The sequence below is a fragment of the Homo sapiens genome, chromosome 5 (assembly GCF_000001405.40).
Source record: "Homo sapiens chromosome 5, GRCh38.p14 Primary Assembly".
NCBI lineage: Eukaryota > Metazoa > Chordata > Mammalia > Primates > Hominidae > Homo > Homo sapiens.
In genome coordinates this window covers 74,740,895-74,766,315 of record NC_000005.10, presented here as the reverse complement: position 1 = coordinate 74,766,315, position 25,421 = coordinate 74,740,895, and the positions used below count along the sequence as shown (strand labels likewise).

The following is a 25,421-nucleotide window of genomic DNA, read 5'->3' as shown; positions in this document are numbered from 1 at the left end:
TATGGGTATTTTGAGACGGCATCTCGCCCAGTCGCCCAGGCTGGAGTGCAGGGGCACGAGCTCGGCTCACCGCAGCCTCGACCTCCCGGGATCAAGCGATCCTCCGACCTCAGCCTCAAAAGTAGCGAGCTACAGGCTCGCGCCACGAAGCCTGGCTGATTTTTGTAGTTTTTGTAGAGATGAGGTTTCACCGTGTTGCCCAGGCTGGTCTCGAACTCCCGGGTACGAGCGATCCACCCGCCTCGGCCTCCCAAAGTGTTGGGATTACAGGCTTGAGCCACAGCGCCCGGCTTTGAGGCAGTTTTTGTTTTGTTTTGAGACGGAGTTTCAATCTTGTCGCACAGGCTGGAGTGCAAATGCGCCATCTCGTCTCACTGCAACCTCTGCCTCCCGGGTTCAAGCGATTCTCCAGGTTCAGCCTCCCAAGTAGCTGGAATTATAGGCGCTCGCCACCACACCCAGCTAATATTTTTGTATTTTTAGTAGAGATGGGGTTTCACCATGTTGGTCGGGCTGGTTTCGAACTCCTGACTTCAGGTGATCCACCTGCCTCGGCCTCCCAAAGTGCTGGAATTACAGGCGTGAGCCACCGAGCCCCGCCTTTGAAGCAGTTTTTTAAGGCTCCATTTTCTAAGGTGATCTCATCATTCTCTTTAAAACCAGAAATAGTAACTAGCATTTGTATATTTTAGGTACAGTACGTTATATAATCTCTTTGCCTTTAATGCGCCCCTCCCCGCCGTCCCTCAATCCCCCGAATTTCCTCCCTCATCTACTTCAGGTCTTTGCTTAAATGTCACTGTTTGAATGAGGCCTTCCTTGATCTCTTTACTTACAGTTCTAACTGTCCCAATTCCTCCTTCCTGCTTCATTCTTCTCTACAGCACCCTATCATCATGGGAGAGACTATGTATTGTATTCGTTACTTTTGTTTGTTGTCTGTATCCCCTGACTACGGTAGAGGCAGTATGAGGGCAGAGATTGTTGTCTTTTGTTCACTGCATTAACGCTGATATCTAGAAAGCAGTGGGTAGGCAGACACACAGTAAATTCTTGTTGAATAAATGGGAACGAATAGGCTTGGGCGGGGGAGGGCTGGGTTGTGCAAATTATCTTTTTATTGACAACCACTGAGTTAAAGAAGAGGAAAATGTCTATTACAGTCACAACTGTGGAGAGACTATGAGGCCCTGAACTTTGGCGTTACCAATGAAAAGGGAATGGATTCAAGGCCAGGCATGGTGGCTCACGCCTGTAATCCCAGCACTTTGGGAGGCCGAGGTGGGTAGATCACTTGAGGTCAGGAGTTCACGACCAGTCTGGCTAACATGGCGAAACCCCGTCTCTACTAAAAATACAAAAAGTAGCCAAGTGTGGTGGCACATGCCTGTAGTTCCAGCTACTCGGGAGGCTGAGGCAGGAGAATCGCTTGAACCCAGGAGGCAGAGGTTGCAGGGAGCTGAGATCAAGCCACTGCACTCCAGGCTTGGTGACAGGGCAAGACCCTGTCTCAAAAAAAAAAAAAAAAAAAAAAAAACAACAAAGGGAACAGATTCAAATATATTTAGGAAATCAAATGTAAGTATTAGATGACTTTCTAAATAAGAGTAGTGAATGTTTCTTAGCTAAGATCCAGAAAGAACAGACTTAGGAGTAGTAATGAGGTTTCACATATCTTAATAACATGGATCACAATGGTTTAACACAGGGGTGTCTAATCTTTTGGTTTCCCTGGGCCACACTGGAAGAATTGTCTTTGGCCACACATAAAATCACTAATGATAACTAACAATAGCTGATGAGCTAAAAAAAAATAAAAAAAACCTCATAATATTTTAAGAAAGTTTACGAATTTATGTTGGGCTGCATATAAAGATATCGTGGGCCGCATGTGGCCTGCAGGCCACGGGTTGGACAAGCTTGGTTTAACATGGTCTGTCTGTCTCCCCAGCATCCCCAGTCTCAGCTGCGTCCTTATATTTCTAATAGCTTTGATATTGTACTTGAAACATAGTGAATATTTAGCAAATGTTTTTAAACTAAAGATGCTTAGTTTCTATAATCAGAGAGGAAGAGGACTTGCTTTTATATATTTTTTACATGATTTAGTTTTTACATGGTATGGTAGGAAAATCAGAGTATACAAATGAATCAATAAATTTTACTGCCAATTAGAAATTACCAAGTTAATATGTGGATGCTTAGCTTTTTATGCTTAATTCTATACATTTACATAACAATGCATTTTGGTTGATACAATGTTTTGTAATTTCAATAAGTTGATTTCTACTGTATCGCCATATCTTTCTTTAAACATTACATTGACAAATAAGGGACATTTTAAACCTAAAAACCATATTTCTCATATTTAATCAGAATTTTCCATTTTCTGAATGATGCATTGAATTTTTGGTAGCTAAAAATATTGTTCCAACTTTTTAAAAGTAATACATTTTACCATACATATTACATATGTCTAACTTACATATGCCTTGCTGACATGTAATACATAAGTTTAGTTTTTTGATTTTGTATATTTATTTTTTCAGACAGTAACAGTTTGGAGGATCAAGATGTTGACCAACTTGAGGATATTTGCAATGAGTCATCAGACAATACCCAGTGTGTATATTAATGTAAGCATTTCTTATAAAATTAAGTGTCCTTTAACAACCTCAGCTCCTTTACTGCCTAAAATGCCCAGTATATCTCATCAGCTGTTGATTCCAAATTTAGTTGAGTCATAACCTTTGGAAATCTTCAAGCTAAACTAATTTGAAAGTAATTACCTTAATTTATTAAGAAATATAAGAGGAAATTACCTTAATTTAAAAGTAAAAGAACAGCTGTAGCTAAATACTGGTCTCATGGAGTACTAAAATGCCAGTTGTTTTTGAAGGAGGGGTAGGGTTTTATATCTAAGAATGTCATCACTTAATGCACATCTTTAAACTACTAACAAATAATGTGCTTTGTAATATTAAGTATCCATGGATTGAGACTCTTATGAAATAAAGTTTCTGTTAATATCAAAGTACAACATAATTATACAATGGTTGATACAACTACTTTTGGCTGTCTTCTGCAGAGCTGTTGGAAGCCAGCTTCTTCGGCAGTCTGATATTTGTCTCAGGAACATTGTTTTAGTCTTTAGCTCTGGTCTGACTCCTGAATCCTCTTCAAAACACTATAAATTATTTTCTAAACTATCACATCTTCAGTATACTTAAAGATATTAAATCTCAAACATAATAATACCCTTTTTATCTATAGCTAAGTGAGAGATTACTTTAAAGCTTGTTTGGGTTGTTTCTTTTTATCTTCAGTGACTTAACAGGGAGTACAATAGTTTCCCCTTATTCATGGTTTTGCTGTTTAGCTGTTTCAGTTGCTCAGAGTCAACTGTGGTCTGAAAATTAAATGGGAAATTCCAGAAATAATTCATAAGTTTTAAATTGTGTGCCATTCTGAGTACTGTGATGAAATCTCATGCCATCCCACTTAATCCCACCTGGGAGGTGAGTCATTCCTTTGCCCAGCATATCCACATTGTATACACTCCCCACCCATGAGTCAGTAGCCATCTGGGTTATCAGATTCACTGTTGTGATACTGCAGTGCTTGTGTTCAAGTAACCTTTATTTTACTTAATCACGGTCCCAGAGCGCAAGAGTAGTGATGCTGGCAATTTGGATGTGCCAAAGAGAAGCCATAAAGTGCTCCCTTTAAGTGAAAAGGTGAACATTCTTGGCTTAATAAGGAAAAAAACAAATCATATGCTGAGGTTGCTAAGATCTATGGTAGGAATGAATCTTCTATCCATGAAATTGTGAAGAAAGAAAAAGACATTTTTGCTAGTTTTACTGTTGCACTTCAAACTACAAAAATTATGGTCACATAACATGATAAGAGCTCAGTTAAGATGGAAAAGGTATTCAGTTTGTGGGCAGAAGACATGAACAGAACCATGTTCTGATTGATAGTAATTAGGTTCTGTACTATCTGAGGTTTCAGGAATCCACTGGGGGTCTTGGAATATAACCCCTGTGGATAGGGTGTGACTGCTGTATGGGAGAACCTGTAACCCTTAAGAAGCCTTACCATTCGTCTACAGTTTTTTTGTTGTTGTTGCTAAGAAGCCTTACCATTCATCTACAATTTTTTTTTGCTACTTTAAAAATCACCTGAGCAGCATTTTGAAGAAGATATATTTCTGTATTCCATTTGTGATCTCATTAAGTGGCCCAAGGAGTTACCCAGTTTTTCTTCAGTGCTTTTATTGCTGACGCTTTCAGACTATGCACGCTGTGATAGACACTGGGTCTTATCCTAGTCATTATGCAGTGGAATTATTTTCTGAGGATAGTAGCTTATTATTGCCAGAAACTTGGTAACTAATGTAGAAATAATATAGATCGCACAGATACGCAGTTCATGAAACAAAAAGCAGATTGTGGTGGCCCTAAATCATTACATACACTAACAATTCCAACTACATTGGCAGCTATTAAATGTATATCTAGTGGTCTGGGCATAAACTGAGGTGGAGAATATTCAGCCTTTACATGAGAACATGAGAAGGTTAGGTAAGCAGCTAAGGTAGAGGAGGTAGGCTTGGCCTTAAGCAGACCTGCTCTAACTCAGTGATTCTCAGTTGAATGCTACATTGGAGACACCCTGGGAATTTTTTTTAAATGCCACTGCCCAGTTCCTCCAGTTCTCATTTTCTCTCCCCACCCCCGTGTCTTCAAGAAGCTTTCCAGATGATTCTAATGTGTAACTGTAATAAATCCTGAAAACAACTAATGGTTTTAGAGTTCATTGCCCCCTACAGACCTTTCAGCAGATGTAGAGGAAAACCAAGGTGTATCCTGGGTGAGATACCTTATTTAACCTTTCTGACTCAGCTTCTGACTTTCAGAACTTTAGGGTTGTGGTTCTCAATCTGTAGCTATTAGAATCAACTGGAGAGCTAGTTTAAACAGATTGTTTGGCTCCATCCCCAAGAGTTTCTGATTCTCTTGTCTGGATTGGAGCCTAAGCATGTTTTTCAAACAAGCCCTCAGCCCATGCTAATGCTGCAGGTTGAGGAAAACCATTGTTTTAAGGTCAGCTCAAAATAGCAAATCAGTATTAATTTTATCCTTATTCTTTCCCCTAGGATATATTTGGATTGTCACTTTTTAAAAGAATTGGAGTTAATAAATTAGGACTACTTTAAAGCTATACAAAATATTTTATCTTCTGACAAAGCGTAATTACAATATTAACACTGTAATAAGTGATGCTAAAATAAAATTAATGCCAAGTTTCTTTTTCTCTTTACTAGAATATATGCTGCTATAAAATAAGAGCAAGTTTAAAAAGATTAAAGCCACATGTGCCGCTTGGAAGAAATTGCAGTTCTCTACCAGGTACAAATGTTAGAGTCTTCTAATTTTATCTAAGCTGTTTGCTTTATCTCTTTTCTCTCTCTTGTTTGCAAGAATCTCCCTTATTAGGGCTCTGTAACCATTTTTTACTTCTTGGCTATTTCCTTGAGATTATTAGGGGCGGGAGTGTTCAGATAGGTGCCAGAAGGAAATACTAGTAGAGTTGTGCTCCTTATCTGAGGAACACGCTGATGAACTGAGCAAAGGAAAGGTTGGTGGCTTTAGTAGCTAGTTTGCAAGTTTAACATGTGAGTGTAATTGTAGAGTGCTCTTGTGAATTTCTTTTTCTAGTTTATTTCTGTTTTTTATGCAAGTGTTTTCTGTCAAGAGAGATTTACTAGAATAATTTATTTTGAGGATTGTTATAAGTAGTTTGGCTAAGTATTTGGGATTGTTTAGGTTAGATACATGGCATCAGAAGCTGGAAGGTGGAGGAGTTGACTTACTTTTGAATGTCCTTTCTGTGTTTGAAACAAGCAAGTGTATGGTAGACTCTATGAAACTAGTTTAATTCTGTTGCTGTTCTCATTACTGTGTTTGTCATGTGAGAATAATAGAATAAAAATACTGATTGGCTGTTGACTTACAAGGGCAGATTAATTTAATGGGCTACGTTATTGGTGTGTATCTAGGTCTCTGAATTTGGCTAATATGAATTTAACTGTAGTAGTATAGATTATCTTTTGATCTTCAAACCACCATGAAGTTTCAAAAATAATATAAAATTCTCCTTTTTGTATTATAGAAACATGGGAGAAATGGTTTAAATAACAGGAAGGCTTTAATTAAATTTACAAATGTAACTGCCTTGTTTCTTTAGAAATTACTTCTTAATATTAGTAAACTATATATTAAGCATAGAATAAGCCATATGGACTTTTTTATTTAAGAAATACTGCTTGGCCTTTCAAAAGTATTAAATTGTTATAGCTTCTATTCAGTGAAACCTCCCAGGCAGTCTTTAAAGGTATTGTGTCCTGGGATTGCTGAGGAAGGCAAGTTCCAAATTGTATAATAATTCATTATCAGCTGACATGAGGATCACTCTTAGCTCTTCAAACCCTGGAAAAGGCAGGTTTATAGGACTGTGCATTTAAAATTTTTTCTTTGATTCAGGATCATTGCCTTAAGATTATTATTATGAGCATTTATTCTAGTTCTACAATTTTGTAAATGGAAGTGAAGTAGGTGGCAGAGATTGGGGTGAATCTGTATTTTTCTGAGGATATGATCTAGAACTTGATGTTTAAAACTTTTACCTTGTTTTATTGTCATCCATAGCTTTCCTTATACATTGCAAGGAAATAAATTTTAGTTTATTTTAGATTTATTTAGCTTGAATTTTACTTTATTTGGACTTACAGTATTTGCTTAAAGTTATTTTAAAGTCTTTCATTTATAAATTAAAGGAAAATTTCATAAATGTAACAGTTCAATTTTAACTTTCTTTTCATTAGGCTTAATAGGAAATGATATCAAATCCCTTCATTCCATCATCAATCCTCCCATAGCTAAGTAAGTACTATCATTATATCATGCTTTTCCATAGACTGTCACGAAAATTTACAGGTTTTTTCTGATGGACAAGAGTGAATGCTGTAATTTCTATGACTTTCTGCCCTAGCCAATTTTAAGTAGATGTTGATAATGTATCTTAGCTATTTTTTCTCAATTAATGCTAAAAATTTTTAATGTAACAACAGCACACTTTTCTAGAATGAATATAAGATAGTCTCAAAATTGTAGGTTGTAGTTAGCCCTTTTGTTACTTAGCTATCTTATCAGAGTAATGTGGATATACTCTAAATGTTTTCCATTTTTCTAGTTTTTACACAGTTTTATAAATTATAGAAATACCAGCTTTGAAATTTGGATAGCATATATACTTTGGTTTTACAATTTTAGTAAAGTTTACCTTATTTTTTCCTTTTAAACAGAATCCGTAATATTGGAATTATGGCTCATATTGATGCAGGCAAAACTACCACCACAGAAAGAATATTGTACTATTCCGGATATACAAGATCACTGGGAGGTTAGAATGGATTCCTCCTCTTCCCACCCCCCCATTAGCAAAAGCATCATTGGAAAATATTTTGGTTAACAAGTCAACTTACACACCTTGAATATGGCATAGAGCTACTGATGTCTAATCCACAATTTAAAGATAAGATAGTTGCAATACCCACCAAAGGGTCTTCTTAGATTCAACTAAATATTCAGACTTGTAAGACTATCATAGGCCCCACTGGACACTCGTCTACTCAGAATGCTACAGGACAGGAACCACAGCTTACCAACAGACCAGCATTAGGTGTTTCTTTCTAGTAGAGTCCTTATAGCAGTCCCCGTAGCTATCTGGGAGCTATCTTCTTTGGCTGCTCCAGAGTAATGGATTAGATGCAAGGTGACAAGATTCATAGGAGCCACCCTAGCTTAGAAGATTCATGCCCCATAGGAATGAATGTCTCTTGTTATAACTTCATAGGCATAGCTTCCAGGTGTCACCTAAGGTACATGCCATACACAGGGAAGCCCAGAGTTCGGTATCTCCATAAGGTACTTATATATATAATTCATTTATAGTTCTTCGCAATTCAGATTTAGTTTACCAATCAGAAGTTGTTTTTTCCATAAGTTATATTGCCTAGGAATGTAGTTGACATACCTCTGTTATCTGGTTTCTAGAAGAAAAGAACCAAAAAAAGTAACCAGAAGTTAAATTCTCACATCAAAGAGGATTTTGTTAATCCTTAACCAAGTTATCTTTTGTCTTTTAAATTGTAGTTAAAAAAACATAAAATTTACCATCTTAACTATTTCTAAGTGTTAACTATTTTGGTAGTGTTAAGTATATTCACATTATTGTGCAACCAATCTTCAAAACATTTTCATCTTTCAAAATTGAAATTCTATACCCATTAAACAACTCCCATTTTCCCCTTTCCCCGGTCCCTTGCAACCATCCTTCTACTTTTTCTTCATGACTTTGACTACTCTAGGTACCTCATATAAATGGAATCGTAAGTATTTGTCTTTCTATGACTGGTTTATTTCACATAGTACAGTGTCCTCAAGGTTCATCCATGTTGTAGCATGTGTCAAGATTCCTTTTTAATTTTTTAATTTTTTTTTTTTTTTTTTTTTTTTTTAGAGACATAGGCTCTTGCTCTGTTGCCCAGGCTGGAGTGCAGTGGCCCAGTCACAGCTCACTGCAGCCTTGAACTCTTGGGCACAAGAGATCCTCCTGCCTCAGCTTCCTGAGTAGCTGGGACTACAGGCAGGTGCCACCACACTTGGCTAACTTTTGTATTTTTGGTAGAGACAGGGCCTCAGTGTGTTGCTCAGGCTGGTCTCAAACTGGGCTCAAGTGAAGATTCCTTTTATAAGGCTGAATAATATTCCATGTGTTTTTATTTATTTATTTCAAACTAATGCAGTTTATTATAACAAGAAGGAAATCAAGCTTTACAGTAATTATAGTCACTAAGCTGAAAAATCACCTACAAAAGTCATGGCAATAACTTATTTACAGTTAAAAAAGAGAATATCAAGATCTTGCTCTCATAGTAAGGTAAACTAGACATGTACACAATCTTATGATGCCAAGAAACTGAATATATAAAAATAGAACCCACATAGAATGTTCTCTCTCTCTTTTATATACACACACATTTGCTCTGTGATTGCCCTTAATTTTATGTCTTTATCATAACTGGTTTATTATATTTATAATTAAAGATAATCTTAGACTTTATATTCTAAAAAGCAACTAGGTTAACAGTTTTCTCCCCTAAGGCTTATTTTATTTTATTTTTTATTTCAATAGGCTTTTGGAGAACAGGTGGTTGGTTACATAAGTTCTTTAGGGGTGGTTTCTGAGATTTTGGTGCACCCATTACCCAAGTAGTGTACACTGTACCCAATGTGTAGTCTTTTATCCCTCACTCCCCTCCTGCCCTTTCTCCTGAGTCCCCAAAGTTCATTGTATCACTCTAATGCCTTTGCATCCTCATAGCTTAGATCCCACTTATGAGTGAGAACAAATGATGTCAGTTTTCCATTCCTGAGTTACTACACTTAGAATCCTGGCCTCCAATTCCATCCGAGAATAGTGGTCTCCAGTTCCATCCAGGTTGCTGCGAATGCCATTATTTCGTTCTTTTTTATGACTGAGTAGTATTCCATGGTGTGTATATGTGTGTGTATATATATATACACACACACTTTACACTGTTAGTGGGAATGTAAGCTAGTACAACCACTGTGCAAAACAATGTGGAGATTCCTTTAAAAACTAAAAGTAGAACTACCATTTGATCCAGCAATCCCACTATTTGGTATCTACCCAGAGGAAAAGAAATAATTATACGAAAAAGATACTTGACCACGCATGTTTATAACATCACAATTCGCAAAAATATGGAACCAGCCCAAATGCCAATCAATGAGTGGATAAAGAAAATGTGGTGTATATGTCCACTCCACATCCACTCCAACATCTGTTATTTTTTGATTGTGGCCATTCTTGCAGGAGTAAGGTGGTATTGCATTGTGCTTTTGATGTGCATTTTCAAAGAAAATGTGGTGTGCATGTATGTGTATATGTATGTATATACACATATATGTATAATGTTGGCTGTGGGTTTGTCATAGTTAGCTTTCATTACTTTAAGGTATGTCCCTTCTATGCCAATTTTGAGGAGGGTTTTAATCATAGAGGGATGCTGAATTTTGTCAAATGCTTTTTCTGAGTCTATTGAGATGATCATGTGATTTTTGTTTTTAATTCTGTTTATGTGATATATCACATTTATTGACTTGCAGATGTTAAACTATCCCTGCATTCCTGGTATGAAACCTACTTGATCATGGTGGATTATCTTTTTGGTATGCTGTTGGATTCAGTTAGCTAGTATTTTGTTGAGGATTTTTGCTTCTGTGTTCATTAGGGATATTGGTCTGTAGTTTTCCTTTTTTTGTTGTGTCTTTTCCTGCTTTTGGTATTACGGTGATACTGGCTTCATAGAATGATTTAGGGAGGATTCCCTCTATCTGTAGAATAGCATCAATAGAATTGGTGCCAATTCTTTGAATGTCTGATGGAATTCAGCTGCAAATCCATCTGGTCCTAGACTTTTTTTGTTGGCAACTTGTTAATTACCATTTCCTTCTCACTGTTATTTGTCTGTTCAGTTTCTGTTTCTTCCTGGTTTAATCTAGGAGGATTGCATATTTCCAGGAATTTATCCATCTCCTCTAGGTTTTCTAGTTTATGCGCGTAAAGGTGTTCATAGTAGCTTTGAGTGATCTTTTGTATTTCTGTGGTATCAGTTATAGTATCTCCTGTTTTGTTTCTAATTGAGCTTATTTGGATATTTTCTGTTCTTGGTTAATCTTACTAATGGTCTATCAATTTTATTTATCTTTTCAAAGAACCAGCTTTTTGTTTCACTTTTTAAATTTCCATCTTGATATCATTGTTGACCCAATGATCTTTCAGGAGCAGGTTATTTAATTTCCATGTATTTGCATGATTTTGAGGGTTCCTTTTGGAGTTGATTTCCAGTTTTATTCCACTATGATATGAGAGAGTACTTGATATAATTTTGATTTTCTTAACTTTATTGAGACTTGTTTTGTAGCCTGTCTTGTGGTCTATCTGGGAGAATGTTCTACATGCTGATGTATAGAATATATATTCTTCAGTTTTTGGGAAGAATGTTCTGTAAATATTTATTAAGTCTTTTTGTTCTAGGATATAGTTTAAATCCATTGTCTCTTTTTTGAGATGGAGTCTGGCTGTGTCGTCTAGCCTGGAGTGAAATGGTGCAATCTTGGCTCATTGCAACCTCCACCTCCCGGGTTCAAGCAATTCCCCTACCTCAGCCTCCCAAGTAGCTGGGATTATAGGTGCCCACCATCATGCCCGGCTAATTTTTGTATTTTTATGTTGGCCAGGCTGGTCTTGAACTCCTGACCTCAGGTAATCCGCCTGCCTCAGCCTTCCAAAGTGCTGGGATGACATGCATGAGCCACTGCGCCTGGCCAGTCCATTGTTTCTTTGTTGACCTTTTGTCTTGATGACCTGTCTAGTGCTGTCAGTAGAGTATTAAAGTCCCCCACTATTATTGTGTTGCTATCTCATTTCTTAGGTCTAGTAGTAATTATTTTATAAATTTGGGAGCTGCAATGTTATGTGCATATATATTTAGGATTGCGATATTTTCCTGTTCGACTAGTCTTTTTATCATTGTATAATATCCCTCTTTGTCTTTTTTAACTGCTGCTTCTTTAAAGATTGTTTTGTCTGATATAAGAACAGTTATTCCTGCTCACTTTTGGTGTCCGTTAGCATGGGGTATCTTTTTCCCCCCTTTACCTTAAGTTTATTTGAGTCTTTATGTGTTAGGTGAGTCTCTTGAAGACAGCAGGTACTTGGTGAACTCTTATCCATTCTACCATTCTTTATCTTTTAAGTGGAACATTTAGGTCATTTCCATTCAATGTTAGTATTCAGATGTGAGGTACTATTGTCACTATCTATTGCCTGAATACCTTGTTTTTTTTTTTTTTTTCATTGTATTATTGTTTTATAGGTCCTGTGAGATTTATGCTTTAAGGAGGTTCTATTTTGGTGTATTTTGAGGATTTGTTTCAGGATTTAGAGCTGCTTTTAGTAGTTCTTGTAGTGCTGGCTTGCTAGTGGTGAGTTCTCTCAGCATTTGATTGTCTGAAAAAGACTATATCTTTCCTTCATTTATGAAGCTTAGTTTCTCTGGATACAAAATTCTTGGTTGATAATTGTTTTGTTTAAGGAGGCTAAAGTAGGACCCAAATTCCTACTAGCTGGTAGGGTTTCTGCTAAGAAGTCTGCTGTTAATCTGATAGGTTTTTATTTATAGGTTACCTGATGTTTTTTCCCCACACTCTTAAAATTGTTTCCTGTCTTGACTTTAGATAACCTGATGACTCTGTGCCTAAACGATGATCTTTTTGTGATGAATTTCCCAGGTGTTCTTTGAGCTTCTGGTATTTGGATGTCTAGATCTCTAGCAAGGCCAGGGAAGTTTTCCTTGATTATTTCCTTAAAAACATTTTCCAGACTTTTAGATTTCTCTTCTTTCTTGGGAATGCCAGTTATTCTTAGGTTTGCTCATTTCACATAATCCCAAACTTCTTAGAGGCTTTGTTCATTTTTTTAAAATTCTTTTTTCTTTGTGTTTGTCAGGTTGGGTTAATTCAAAAGCCTTGTCTTTGAACTCTGAAGTTGTTTCTTCTCTTTTTGAGATGGAGTCTTGCTCTGTCACCCAGGCTAAGGTGCAGTGGTACAATCTCGGCTCACTGCAACCTCCACCTCCCAGGTTCAAGCAATTCTCCCACCTCAGCCTCTTGAGTAGCTGGGATTATAGACACACACCATCATGCTTGACTAATTTTTGTATTTTTGTAGAGACAAGGTTTCACCATGTTGGCCATGCTGGTCTTGAACTCCTGACCGCAAGTGATCTGCCTGCCTCAGCCTCCCAAAGTGCTGGGATTACAGGTGTGAGCCACCACACCTGGCCTTTGAAGTTGTTTCTTCTACTTACTTAATTCTATTGCTGAGACTTTCCAGTGTATTTTGCATTTGTCTAAGTGTGTCCTTCATTTCCAGAAGTTGTGATTGTTTATTTATGCTGGCTGTTTCTCTGGAGATTTTTCCGTTCATATCCTGTAATATTTAAACAGTTTTTTTAAGTTGGTATTCACCTTTCTCTGGTGCCTCCTTGAGTAGCTTAATAATTGACCTTCTGAACTCTTTTTTCTGGCAATTTAGATTTTGTCTTGGTTTGGATTCATTGCTGGTGAGCTAGTGTGATTTTTGGTGGGGGGGATTAAAGAACCTTGTTTTGTTATGTTACCAGAATTGTTTTTCTGGTTCCTTCTCATTTGGGTAGACCATGTCAGAGTGAAGATCTGGCACTTAAGGGCTACTGTTCAGATTCTTTTGTTTCACGGGGTGCTCCCTTGATGTGGGGCTCTCCTCCTTCCCCTAAGGATGGGGCTTTCTGAGTGCAAAACTGCAGTGATTGTCCATGTGTTTTTGTACGGCTATCTTTTGAAGTTCTTTTCTAGTTCAGACCATAGCCTAAAAACTATCCAGGTTGTTGTAGAACTTGCTGATCCAAGGTTGACTTTATTAGTCATATGAATAATCATAAAGATAATGTGAAATAAAGATCTTTATAATTGTGAAAATGCTTACTACTGTGTAAGTGTTTTTAAAACTTACTGTCTCATTTAGAACTTATAGTTAGTTATTTGGTCTGTATCCTTAATGATACTATTTTCTTTGGCAGTGATGTTGGGAATAACTGACACTAATACAATTATAGATATTAACATAGAGTTATATTTGAGTTGCTGTCAAATACATTTTTCTTGCTATTTCCTCCTCTGGTGTTTAGACTATGTGTGTGTATACATATTTATACATATGCACATACACATACACATATATGGGGCAACTAGCTACCATTTTAGGGGTTTAATGCTGAAATAAATGGTAGTATAAGGCCATGATAATGGTAAAGACCAACTGTTTATTTCTTTTACTGTCTATAAATTTAATTAGAATAATATGCTTAATTCAACTACAGAATTTTACTGCACAATAATTTCAGTGAACTTTTTGGATAAAGTTCAGGATAGTTTTTTTGTGACTTTATACTGTAGAAGTTGTATGAGACTACTTGCACTTGTACAACTAAATCCCTTCTCTTTGGAAAATTTAGTAATGAGATGGGTTTGTAAAGGATAATTTAATATTGGATGAATTTTTTTCTCTACCTCATTCCGTGTGGCTATCATTTATCATCTACTAGACTAGGTACTTTATATATATTGTCTCCTTTCATCCTTATAATAACAACCCAGCAAGGATGGCTTTACTAGCCTTATTTTACAAACTAGGTTAAGTAGTTTGCCTCAAGATCATAGAGTGCTAAGTGGTAAAGTTGGGATTTAAAGCTATGTCTGTCTGTGTTCTTTCACTGTACCACTCGGCCTCCTATCAAGGGATCAGGAGGGAGGGACATCAGATAAAAAGGGGGTAATGATAGTTAAGCTATGTAAGAAATAAAAGAAGTAAGTAAGTAAAATAAGTTCAGTAAACTTAAAAGATTTTCATCTTGATGAAAAATTCCTTTTATGGCAAAGTTACTAATCTAGCTGAAAAACTTTTTCTACCATGAGGATTTACTTAGTGAAAGAGTAAAGGCTCTATTAAACCAAATATTTTAGGAAAGATTTTTCTTAAGGCAGGTTAAACTGTGTCAGGTAGATATTGAGCACGAATAAAATACACTTGCTATTAAGACTAAACTGTATCATCTTTTTCCTGGCTAGATGTTGATGATGGAGACACAGTGACAGATTTCATGGCCCAAGAGCGAGAAAGAGGCATTACTATTCAATCAGCTGCTGTTACATTTGATTGGAAAGGTTATAGAGTCAATCTAATTGATACACCAGGTATGGTACGATTCCAGTAACACAGAGATGCTGCGTCATTTGGAGTTTTTTTGTTTTTCTGGGGTTTTTGTTTTGCTTTTTATTGTGGTAAAAAAACATGTGTTGCAAAATTTACCATCTCAACCATTTTTAAGTGTACAGTTTAGTAGTGTTAAGTATAATCACATTGCTGTGAAACAGATGTCCAGAACTTTTTTATCTTGCAGAAATGAAACTATATTCATTGGACAACAATTCCCTTTTGCCCCCTCCCTTCACCCCTGCTAACCACTGTGTACTTTGTATACCTATGTATTTGACTAGCTTAGATGCCTTATGTAAGTGGAATCATACCGTATTTGTCCTCTTGTGATTGGCTTATCTCATTAGCATAAAGCCCTCAAATTTTCTCATATTGTAGCATGTGACAATGTGCTACAATATTTTCTTTTTTATTCTGTGTAGTATTCCATTGTATGTGTATATCACATTTTGTTTATCCATTCATACATCAGTGGACATTTGGGTTTTTTCCACCTTTTGTCTACCAGTGCTGCTATGGAGGGTGTGCAAATAGCTCTGAGACTCTGCTTTCAATACCTTTATATATATACACATATATATACACACACACCCCTCCCCAGGAGTGAGATGTGAGATTGCTGGATCATATGATGGTTTTGTTAAAAAGAAGGCATTATACGTCTTATCTTTTTCTTAGGTCATGTGGACTTTACCTTGGAGGTTGAGCGGTGCCTAAGAGTGTTGGATGGTGCAGTGGCTGTATTTGATGCCTCTGCTGGTGTAGAGGTAAATAATATTGCCAAAGTAAAGGGAATTAGAACAGCATGATTTTTTAAAAAGTAGAATATGTCAAATTTAGTTAACTGTAACCATCTATTTGGTAAGTTCACATAAATCAAATAATGGTAAAAGGAAATCAGAATTTATATTGAGATGTAATCTACATGTAATCTCAGATATTTCATAGTAAAAGGAGAAATAGGAAAGCTGGTGTCAAGAACTTTGAGAGATCAGAGATTCTACCTTACTTTTGAGCTAACAAGTTAGCCTGCCATAGTTTAATGGATTCTGGCAGAAGACACTGTGGTGTGAGATTGATTATACACTGTTATTTCTGTTTCTTTCTGGGTCACTTTATTTCCTAATAGTTCCATTTTTCTGTTGTTGTAACTTTAGATAAATTTGACGTTTAATCATTCAAACAGATTGCATTACTTACAAGATTGAAATGTGCTTGAATAGGAAGTTGCTGAATTCATGAAGGAGAAGGCACTTGTTTTAAACAATGAATGAGCTTTTAGCTGGCAGGTGGAATGGTGGGAGTTTTTTGTTTTGATTTGCAATATGTTTTTGTTCTTTGAAAATTTATGATATTCACCCTCCACGCCTCACACACATACCTCATCATACACAAAAATTAATTTGGAGTGGATCACAGTGTTAAGTTATGTATACATAGCTTCTAGAAGAAAAATATCTTTACAGCCTTGGGGTAGGTAAAAATTTCTTAGAGGACATAAGAAGCATGAAACATAAATAACAAAAGTTGATTCCTGGAACTTTATCAAAACTACAGCTGTTCATTAAAACAAAAAAATTAAAAACACAAGGAATAGACTATGAGAAGATACTTGTAATGTTAGATAAACATATTATACAAATATTAAATTTCCTGAATGCAATAATAGTATTGGTTATATAAGAGAATATGATTGTTCTTGGGAAATAAATACTGAAGTATTTATAGTACGTATCTATAACCATGGATTTGTATCCAGACTATATGAAGAACCATAAATCAATAATAACCCAGAAGAAAATGGACAAAAAACTTGAATGGACACTTCACAAAAGAACACATGTGAATGAATAGTAAGCACATGAAAAGATGTATAATCTCATTAGTCCTCAGGAAAATGCAAATTAAAATCACAGATTCAATTTCACACCCAAAAGAATGCTTATAATTAAAAAGAGTGATAGCAAATGTTGGTGAGGATGTGGAGCAACTAGAAATCTTACACATTGTTGATAAGACTGCAAAATAGAGGCCAGGCATGGTGGCTCACACCTGTAATCCCAGCACTTTGGGAGGCTGAGGCAGGTGGGTTCGCTTGAGCCCAGGAATTAGAGACCAGCCTGAGCAACATGGCGAAACCCCATCTTTATAAAATACAAAAAAAATTAGCTGGGTGTGGTGGCGTGCACTTGTCATCCCAGCTACTCCAGAGGCTGAGATGGGAGAATTGCTTGAGCCCAGCAGGGAGGTTGGGGCTGCAGTGAGCCTTGATTGCACCACTGCATTCCAGCCTGGGCAACAGAGTGAGACCCTGTCTCAAAAAAAATTAAAAAGACTGCAAAATAATGCAACTACTTTGGAAGACTATTTGGAAGTTTCTTTATTTTATTTTATTTTATTTTATTTTTTATTTTTTTTATTTTTTTTTATTTTTTTATTTTATTTTATTTTATTTATTTTATTTTATTTTATTTTATTTTGAGACAGGAGTCTCACTCTGTCGCCCAGGCTGGAATGCAGTGGTGCAATCTTGGCTCACTGTAACCTCTGTCTCCCGGGTTCAAGCGATCCTTGTGCCTCAGCTTCCCGAGTATCTGGGACTACAGGCGTGCACCACCACGCCTGGCTAATTTTTGTATTTTTAGTAGAGACAGAGTTTCACCATGTTGGCCAGGCTGGTCTTGAACTTCTGACCTCAAGTGATCCACCTGCCTCAGCCTCCCACAGTGCTGGGATTACAGGCGTGAGCCACCGCACTGGTGGATAGGAAAGCCAACTGGTACGTATGTATAATTAAAAAGAACGGAAATACCTAACAATGTGGATGAATGTTAAAAACATGTTGAGCCAAAGAAGCCATGCTATTTTGTATGAGGTTCAAGAATAAGACACTGAAGCTATGGTGACAGAAATCAAGACAGGTTGCTTATAGGAGACAGGGATGAGAAAAATTTCAGGAGTAACAGAATGTTCTATGTTCTAAGTGGGGTAGTAGTTACACAAACGTACTTTTATCAAAACGCATTGAGCTATACACTTAATATCTGTACTTTATTGTATATAAATTTTACCTAAAAAATAAACTGGCTGCTTTATAGTACACTCCTATATTTCTTTTACCTCAAAATAAGTGTCTGAAATAATTAAGGCAAAATTCCTATTTCATAGATCAGAAACCTGACATTAAATGAGTTCAGTGTCATATGACATTTACTAGGAAAAGTGAAGCCAAACAAGAAGTAGGTCTCCTGATTCTCAGTTAAGTTCACTTTCCATGATTCTCAGTACCTCCTGAGGTGTTAATTCTCTTTGTGTGGCCACCTAGTTCACCCAGAGTATTCTCAAGTGGTTTGAAGCACACTCCCCTTCACACTTCATCACGTTCCCGGCTGTGTTAACTTGATAGCTAAAGAGTGACCCTAAAAATATAAGTGCAGTTGCACTAATTCTCTGCTAGAATAGGGCCCAATTTATCTGACAGTAGATTTTTGGATCTCTTCATTCCAGGTCTAGTAACATAGTTACTTTTGTTCAGTATGTATTTTTTTCCTCATCTTTGCTTTAGGCCCAGACTCTCACAGTATGGAGGCAAGCTGATAAACACAATATACCTCGAATCTGTTTTTTAAACAAGATGGACAAAACTGGAGCAAGGTATTTGAAATGTGTTTCATTGGCTTATCAGGGTGAAACTACAATTTGAGCTTTTAATGAACTATAACTTAAATTTAGGAATAGCTATTTTTTTTCCTATTGTATTATAGGGTATAAATATTCCATGGAATCCCAGTTTATTCCCATAAAAAAATTCAAAGCAGCTAATCCATAGGTTATATAACAATTTGGGAGTAATAGCTGATAGATGGTGAATCATCCTGTTTCTAGTATAGAGAGACTGAATCATATTTCTGAGATCAAAGTGGCTTCTTGATGATTCCATTGATTCTCTTTAGAACACAGGTATAGTCCCTATATTGCTGAAGGTATGGCGCTTCCCATCATCGCTAAAGATAGAGAATAGAGAACTGTTTCCTGCATTTGAAGGTGTTCTTCCATATTCTCTGATTTTCTTAGCTACTGGGTAAGATACTGTCAATAAAGAACTGGAAGAAGAGAATGTAGATGCTGTAAGACCTGCATGTAGGGGCAGAAGAGAGTTAATGCTGAGATGTATTGGTCATGGTCAGAGACTTACAGAGTGGTGGATGCATTGTCCTGGGAATATAATTCAGATAATCAAGAATATTTGAAAGATTTGGAGAAAATGTGAAAGGGAGAGAATCAAGAATATTAAAAATTCTAGAACAAATGTGATAGGGAGAGATTGTGGCCTGTGATGGGAGAATGGCAAAAATGAAACATAAACTATACCTCCCCTAAAACTACACAGTAATTAATATGCTTTGTGTTTATCTCCCTCTCTATAGTAATTCTGAGGCTGTTTGTTTAAAGAACCTTGTCTTGATTATTAATAGCCCAGCAACCTTTAAAATGTACTAGCCTCAAGTTCTGACCCTTTTCTGCTTGGAGTTCCTGTGGTAGATGGAAGTACTTATTTATTGTCAGGCAGTGCCATTGGCAATGGGGAGGGATATGACTGGAAAATAGGCTGGTTCTGAAAAACAATGGGACCGGAATGACCTGCATGTAAATCAGCTTGTGTGCCAAAGATGGCATGTGTTCTATAGGTAGCCAGCTGCAGTGTTAGCATAGAAATGAATAGCGTAGCATACGATGTGAAGAATGCCAAAGACTAGGCAGGCTCTTGGAAGAAAGCTAGTTGCCTTGTATGGTAGTAAACCTAGTTGTAGAAGAAAGAATCCTTGGCTTATCACAAATCTTGCATTGGAATCCCAACTGCACTTTATTATCCTTGTTACCTTGATCAATTCATTTAATGTTAATTGCAAAGTATAGTTATGCGAAGCTCACAATAATAATACCCTAAACAGCTCTGTGGCTGGATTAGGGTAATTACTGATATCTGAAATTGACATAAAAGTTTATTCCAGACATTTTCCTATGGAAAACTGTTAAATAGTGAGCGTTAAGGAGAATAAAGTGAGTTAAAATTTTAGAAAACATTCTTAAAACCTGAAAGAGTTTTTTTTCCTCTCTTGATACCTTTGGTAAAGAATTTTTAACCATGTTTTTAACTATAATTATTTTGCTTTCTACAGCTTTAAGTATGCAGTTGAAAGCATCAGAGAGAAGTTAAAGGCAAAGCCTTTGCTTTTACAGGTAAATTGGTTAATAGCATCAGCTTCTTCTCAGTTTCCTCATTAATTTATTTTGTGACAATATATACATTTCCAAAGCTATCTCATCATTTTTGAAGAAGTTGGGGTATAAATAGAAATAGCCACAGATTATAGTAATGGTGATAATAGACATTTTGGGGAAAATGGTACAATTAGAAAAGACTTGTCATCATTGTAGTTTTCAGTGAGTGATCATGTAATAATGTTAATCTCACTCTGACTTACAGTTACCAATTGGTGAAGCCAAAACTTTCAAAGGAGTGGTGGATGTAGTAATGAAAGAAAAACTTCTTTGGAATTGCAATTCAAATGATGGAAAAGACTTTGAGAGAAAGCCCCTCTTGGAAATGAATGATCCTGAATTGCTGAAGGAAACAACTGAAGCAAGGAATGCCTTAATTGAACAAGTAAAGTATAATGAATGATAAAATGAACACCAATGTGTGCACCACTTATCTTAAAATATAGTCATACTTTAGCATCTCTCGGGGATTGGTTGCAGGACCTCCTGTGGATACCAAAATCTGCAGATGCTCAAGTCCCTGATATAAAATGATGTAGTATTTGCATATAACCTATTGATGTCTTCCTCTATACTTTAAATCATTTCTAAATTACTTATAATACCTAATACAATGTAAATGCTATGTGCCATTTTTTGTTCATCTCTCTCTCCCACTAATCATCTACCTGTCCCCCAAATTATTATTTCAATATTTCTCTTTCATTTGCTTTTCGTTGAGATGGAGTCTTGCTCTGCGGCCTAGGCTGGAGTGCAGTGGCACAATCTCAGCTCACTGCAGCCTCTACCTCCCAGGTTCCAGTGATTCTCCTGCCTCAGCCTCCTGGGTAGCTGGGATTACAGGCACGCACCACCACTCCAAGCTAATTTTTTTATTTTTATTTTTTGGTAGAGATGGGGTTTCATCATGTTGGCCAGGCTGGTCTCGAACCCCTGACCTCAGGTGATCGCCCACCTCAGCGTCCCAAAGTGCTAGGATTACCAGCGTGAGCCACTGCGCCGGGCCTCATTTGCTTTTCTTTAGTTTACCATAAATCCTTAAAGAACTTAGGTTTACATGTTTTGAACTTTACATAAATGAAATGTTACTGTTTGTATTTTATGACATTGCTCAACATTGTTGGAACTTTATCCATGTTGCAAATATGTGTAGTTATAATCTATTCATTTCAATCTTGTATATTGTTATAATATATGATTTTACCACACTTTATTGGGTATTCTCCTGTGGATGGGCTTTGAGGTTGTTTCTCTTTTTTGCTGTTACAAACAATGTGGCTATGAACATTTTTGTATCTACTTGTGCACATGGGCAATAGTTTCTTTAGGATTAAACTAAGGAGTAGCATTGTTAGGTCAAAGGATATGCATGTCTTTTACTTTACTTTTCACCAGATGTCAAATTATTTAGAAAATTTTAAAACCATCAATTTTATAGTTGGTATATAGCTCTGGGCCTCATCCACCTTCAAAATTATAATCTTCAAAATAGCAAGATTGTTAATATTTGTAATTTTATATTATATTGTTAGTATATATGGCAATAAATAAAACATACCTTAATTTCTTGAATATTATGGTAGAGAAAAACGTTTGAATCAGAGCCCTTGATTTTTCACTTCTAAATTGAATTGGTCCAAATAAATTTATTCAGCATTCATTTTTTTTTCACTTATCTTTTGTACATAGTTTTTTTTTTTAAGTATAGTCATGTACTTCATGATGACATTTTAGTCAACAACAGACCACATGAATGTTGACAGTGCCATAAGATTATAATACTATATTTTTCCTGTACCTTTTCTATGTTGAGATACACAAATACTTACCATTGTGTTACAGTTGCCTACAGTATTCAGTACAGTAACATGCTGTATGGATTTGTAGCCTAGGAGTAATAGGCCATAGCCTTGGTGTAAAAGCAGGCTATGCCGTCTAGGTTTATGTAAGTACACTCTATGATGTTGGTAGAATGACGAAATCACCTAACACCACATTTCTCAGAACTTATCCCTGTCACTAACTGATTCCTGACTGTATGTAGTAATCATTGCAACTTTATCATTAACATAATAATTGTTATTTTTGTTATTGAGTTAATGAGGGCCTACTGTGTGCTAGGTTAAGTGCTTTACATATACTTTTTAATTAAACCCTCACAAGAACCTTATATTGTCCCTATTTTACAGATGGGGAAACAGCAGCTCAAATGCTTAAATAAGTTGTCACACAGCTAATAAAGTGGCTGAGCTAGAATCTGAACCCAGGTTAATCTGTTTAGAGCTAAAGCTCTTACCCGCTTTGTTATACTGCTTTTTTAATTTGGGGAGCATAGAAGATATAAAAGTGGAATTGACGTTTATTAATAATTCATTCCTCTTTGAGTTTGTTTGTGTTGTTTTAATACAGAAGAGCTATAAGAATAAACTTAAGAAGGATCTTGTAATCTAGTTGAGGAGCCAACACACACTTGCCCATGTCTCATGGTCTTCTAGGATGTGATAGTATGTGACAGAAATCTCAGAAAGAATCTGAGACTGTCAGTAGCTAATAATATGCTAATTATAAGAAATACATAAGTATGTATAAAATTTACAGAATAAGACTACTTCACACCCATTAGGGTGCCTACTGTCAAATACAGAAAATAGGTGTTGGCAAAGGTGTGGAGAATTATAACTTTGCGCACTGTTGGTAGGAATGTAAATGTTGCGGCCACTATGGAAAACAATATGGCGATTCCTCAAAAAATTAAATATGGAGTTACTATATTACCCAACAGTTCCACTTTTTGGGTATATACTCAAAAGAATTGAAAAGAGTCTCAAAGAGATATTTGCACACACATGTTCTTAGCAGCATTCTTCACAATAGCCAAAAGGTAGAAGCAACCCAAATCCATGGATCCAGAGTAATCAGATTCAGAGACAGAAAGTAGAATGGCAGTTGCCATGGGCTGGGGAAGGGCAGAGAGAATAGAGTGTTGTTTAATTAATGTATATGGAGTTTGTTTTGCAAGTTGAAAAGAGTTCTGGAGATTTATTGTGCAATAATGTGAAAGTACTTAACACTACTGAACTGTGCAAGAGTACAGTGGGCTGGGTGTGGTGGCTCATGCCTGTAATCCCAGCACTTTGGGAGGCTGAGGTGGGCAGATCACGAGGTCAGGAGTTTGAGACCAGCGTGACCAACATGGTGAAACCCTGTCTCTACTAAAAATACAAAAAAATTAGCTGGGCGTGGTGGCACGCGCCTGTAATCCTAGCTACTCAGGAGGCTGAAGCAGGAGAATCGCTTGAACCCAGGAAGCAGAGGTTGCAGTGAGCTGAGATCGCACCATTGCACTCCAGCCTAGGTGACAGAGCCAGACTCCGTATCAAAAAAAAAAAAGAGTACAATGGTAAACTTTATGTTGTGTATATTTTGCGATAATTTAAAATTTTCCTTTAAATTAGTGGATAAGATTAGTGTGGAATAGAATCAACTTCCAATATTGAAGGTGCACAGTAATAATAGCTAATACTTATTATACACTAGTATATATTCTTAAAGCATAATTTGAATTATTTAATCTTTATAACAGCCTCAAGAAGTAGATACTACTATCATCTTTGTGAGTTACTAAGGCAGAGAGGTGAAATAACTTGACCAAAATTTGAACAAGTGGGTAAGTGGTGGAACCATTTCTAGGTAGTCTGATTCCAGAAGCTGAGCTTAACCATCACATATAATGCTTTCCAGAAGGATGGTTAGGTACATTTCTGCTATACTTAATCCTGTTAACAGTGTGGTTTTTTTTTTTTTTACCAAGTTTGAACGTTTTGCTCCCTTGTACTGTTATATGCTTTTGAAGCTGTTTTATTAATTTGTCAGCTGAATGATCCCATTTCGTATAGTCGGATGGTCATGAAAAGAATGTGAAATAGACAATTGCATTTTTATTATTGAAATATTGCCTACGCCTCCCTTCCCTAACATAAATGTATTTCTTCAGTGCGGGATTACAGCAACATTAATTCTCTTAGTTTGACTGTCTTGGGAGATCTGGTGAACATTCAGAATATTAGAGGAAAACCAGATGAAACTTTTTTATAAACTAAAACCTCCAGATTTATCTAAGAAAGGCCAATCCATTGTATGTGCTATCATTGTAAGTTGCACATTTTCTTTGATTTCTTTTGAGCACACTGATAGCATTTAATTAAGATGCTTTATCAGGATCTGGCTTTCTGTGAATTTAGGAAACTCCTAATAGTATCTTTAGTTTTCCATTTCTTTTCCTTTCAAAGAAAAACATTTTTCTTTATCTCTTTAGAAGAAGTGAAGAGTTGCTTGGCCTAGGTAAGGTAGCTGTCTTGAAATATTTGAATATTGTCTGTTTATGGTGTTTGGACAAATTAATAGTTAATGAAAGTAAATGCAAGTTATAGAACTCTAAAACCTTTCTTTATAGGTTGCAGATTTGGATGATGAATTTGCTGACTTGGTTTTAGAAGAATTTAGTGAGAATTTTGATTTGTTACCAGCTGAAAAGGTAAATTTTATTATTCAATGGCTTTCACAAAATTTTACTAATTGGATGTAGTTTGATTTCTCTGCCTTTGATGTGTGTGCATTTTTTTTTTAAACTTTGCATATTATTAGAAAGTGGTAAGTTTAAAGTTAGGAGAACATTAAGTTAAAGTCACTACTAATACAATACTTATTGGCAGTGATTTATTACTTTCATATATACTTTACAAAATTAAAAATTGAATCTGTTTAACTTCTATTGAGTCTGCATCAGTTAACTACTCATTCTCTGTAGTCTTTTCATTCTGATAATTCCTCTAAGGATGTTTAGGGAAATCACAGAAAGTTTATATTAAAATTTACTGTTGTTTCAGGCTACTACAATTACCATTTTTCTGAGAACATTATTTTCTGAATCTTTTTAAATTTTTCATGGAAACTCATTACAGTTCTTTGTTTTTGTCTTTTGACATACAGTAAGCCAGAGAAGAGGCAATTAAAATATTGATAGTAACTGAATTATGACAGATTTCTTGAAGGAAACTCTGTTTTGTTCTGCCAGGGACTTTCCCCATGGAATTTGGCAAATTTACTGTTTATTTTTCTTTATGAAACGTAAGAGTTGCCAAGCAAAGTATTTCTAAGTAATAATCTGT

The 25,421-nt window shown here is 36.1% G+C and overlaps 1 protein-coding gene across 10 annotated transcripts in view; it reads left to right on the top strand.

Annotated features, from left to right (window-relative positions):
• The window catches only part of GFM2 (GTP dependent ribosome recycling factor mitochondrial 2), a 45,912-nt gene that overhangs the window by 802 nt on the left and 19,689 nt on the right, over nt 1-25,421 (top strand). For 9 of the 10 annotated variants that reach the window (NR_104006.2, NM_170691.3, NM_032380.5 and 6 more), the window contains exons 2-11: nt 2,550-2,636; nt 5,330-5,414; nt 6,890-6,947; nt 7,370-7,467; nt 14,823-14,948; nt 15,649-15,737; nt 18,536-18,624; nt 20,151-20,211; nt 20,459-20,638; nt 24,707-24,787. Coding sequence is in view for 9 of the 10 variants with exons in the window: in NM_170691.3 (NP_733792.1) it covers nt 2,574-2,636; nt 5,330-5,414; nt 6,890-6,947; nt 7,370-7,467; nt 14,823-14,948; nt 15,649-15,737; nt 18,536-18,624; nt 20,151-20,211; nt 20,459-20,638; nt 24,707-24,787 (930 nt within the window). In the remaining variant the exon portion in view is untranslated. Of the gene's footprint in view, nt 1-1,163; nt 1,282-2,549; nt 2,637-5,329; nt 5,415-6,889; nt 6,948-7,369; nt 7,468-14,822; nt 14,949-15,648; nt 15,738-18,535; nt 18,625-20,150; nt 20,212-20,458; nt 20,639-24,706; nt 24,788-25,421 lie in introns of all 10 variants that reach the window. The other variant, NM_001281302.2, reaches the window with a different exon arrangement.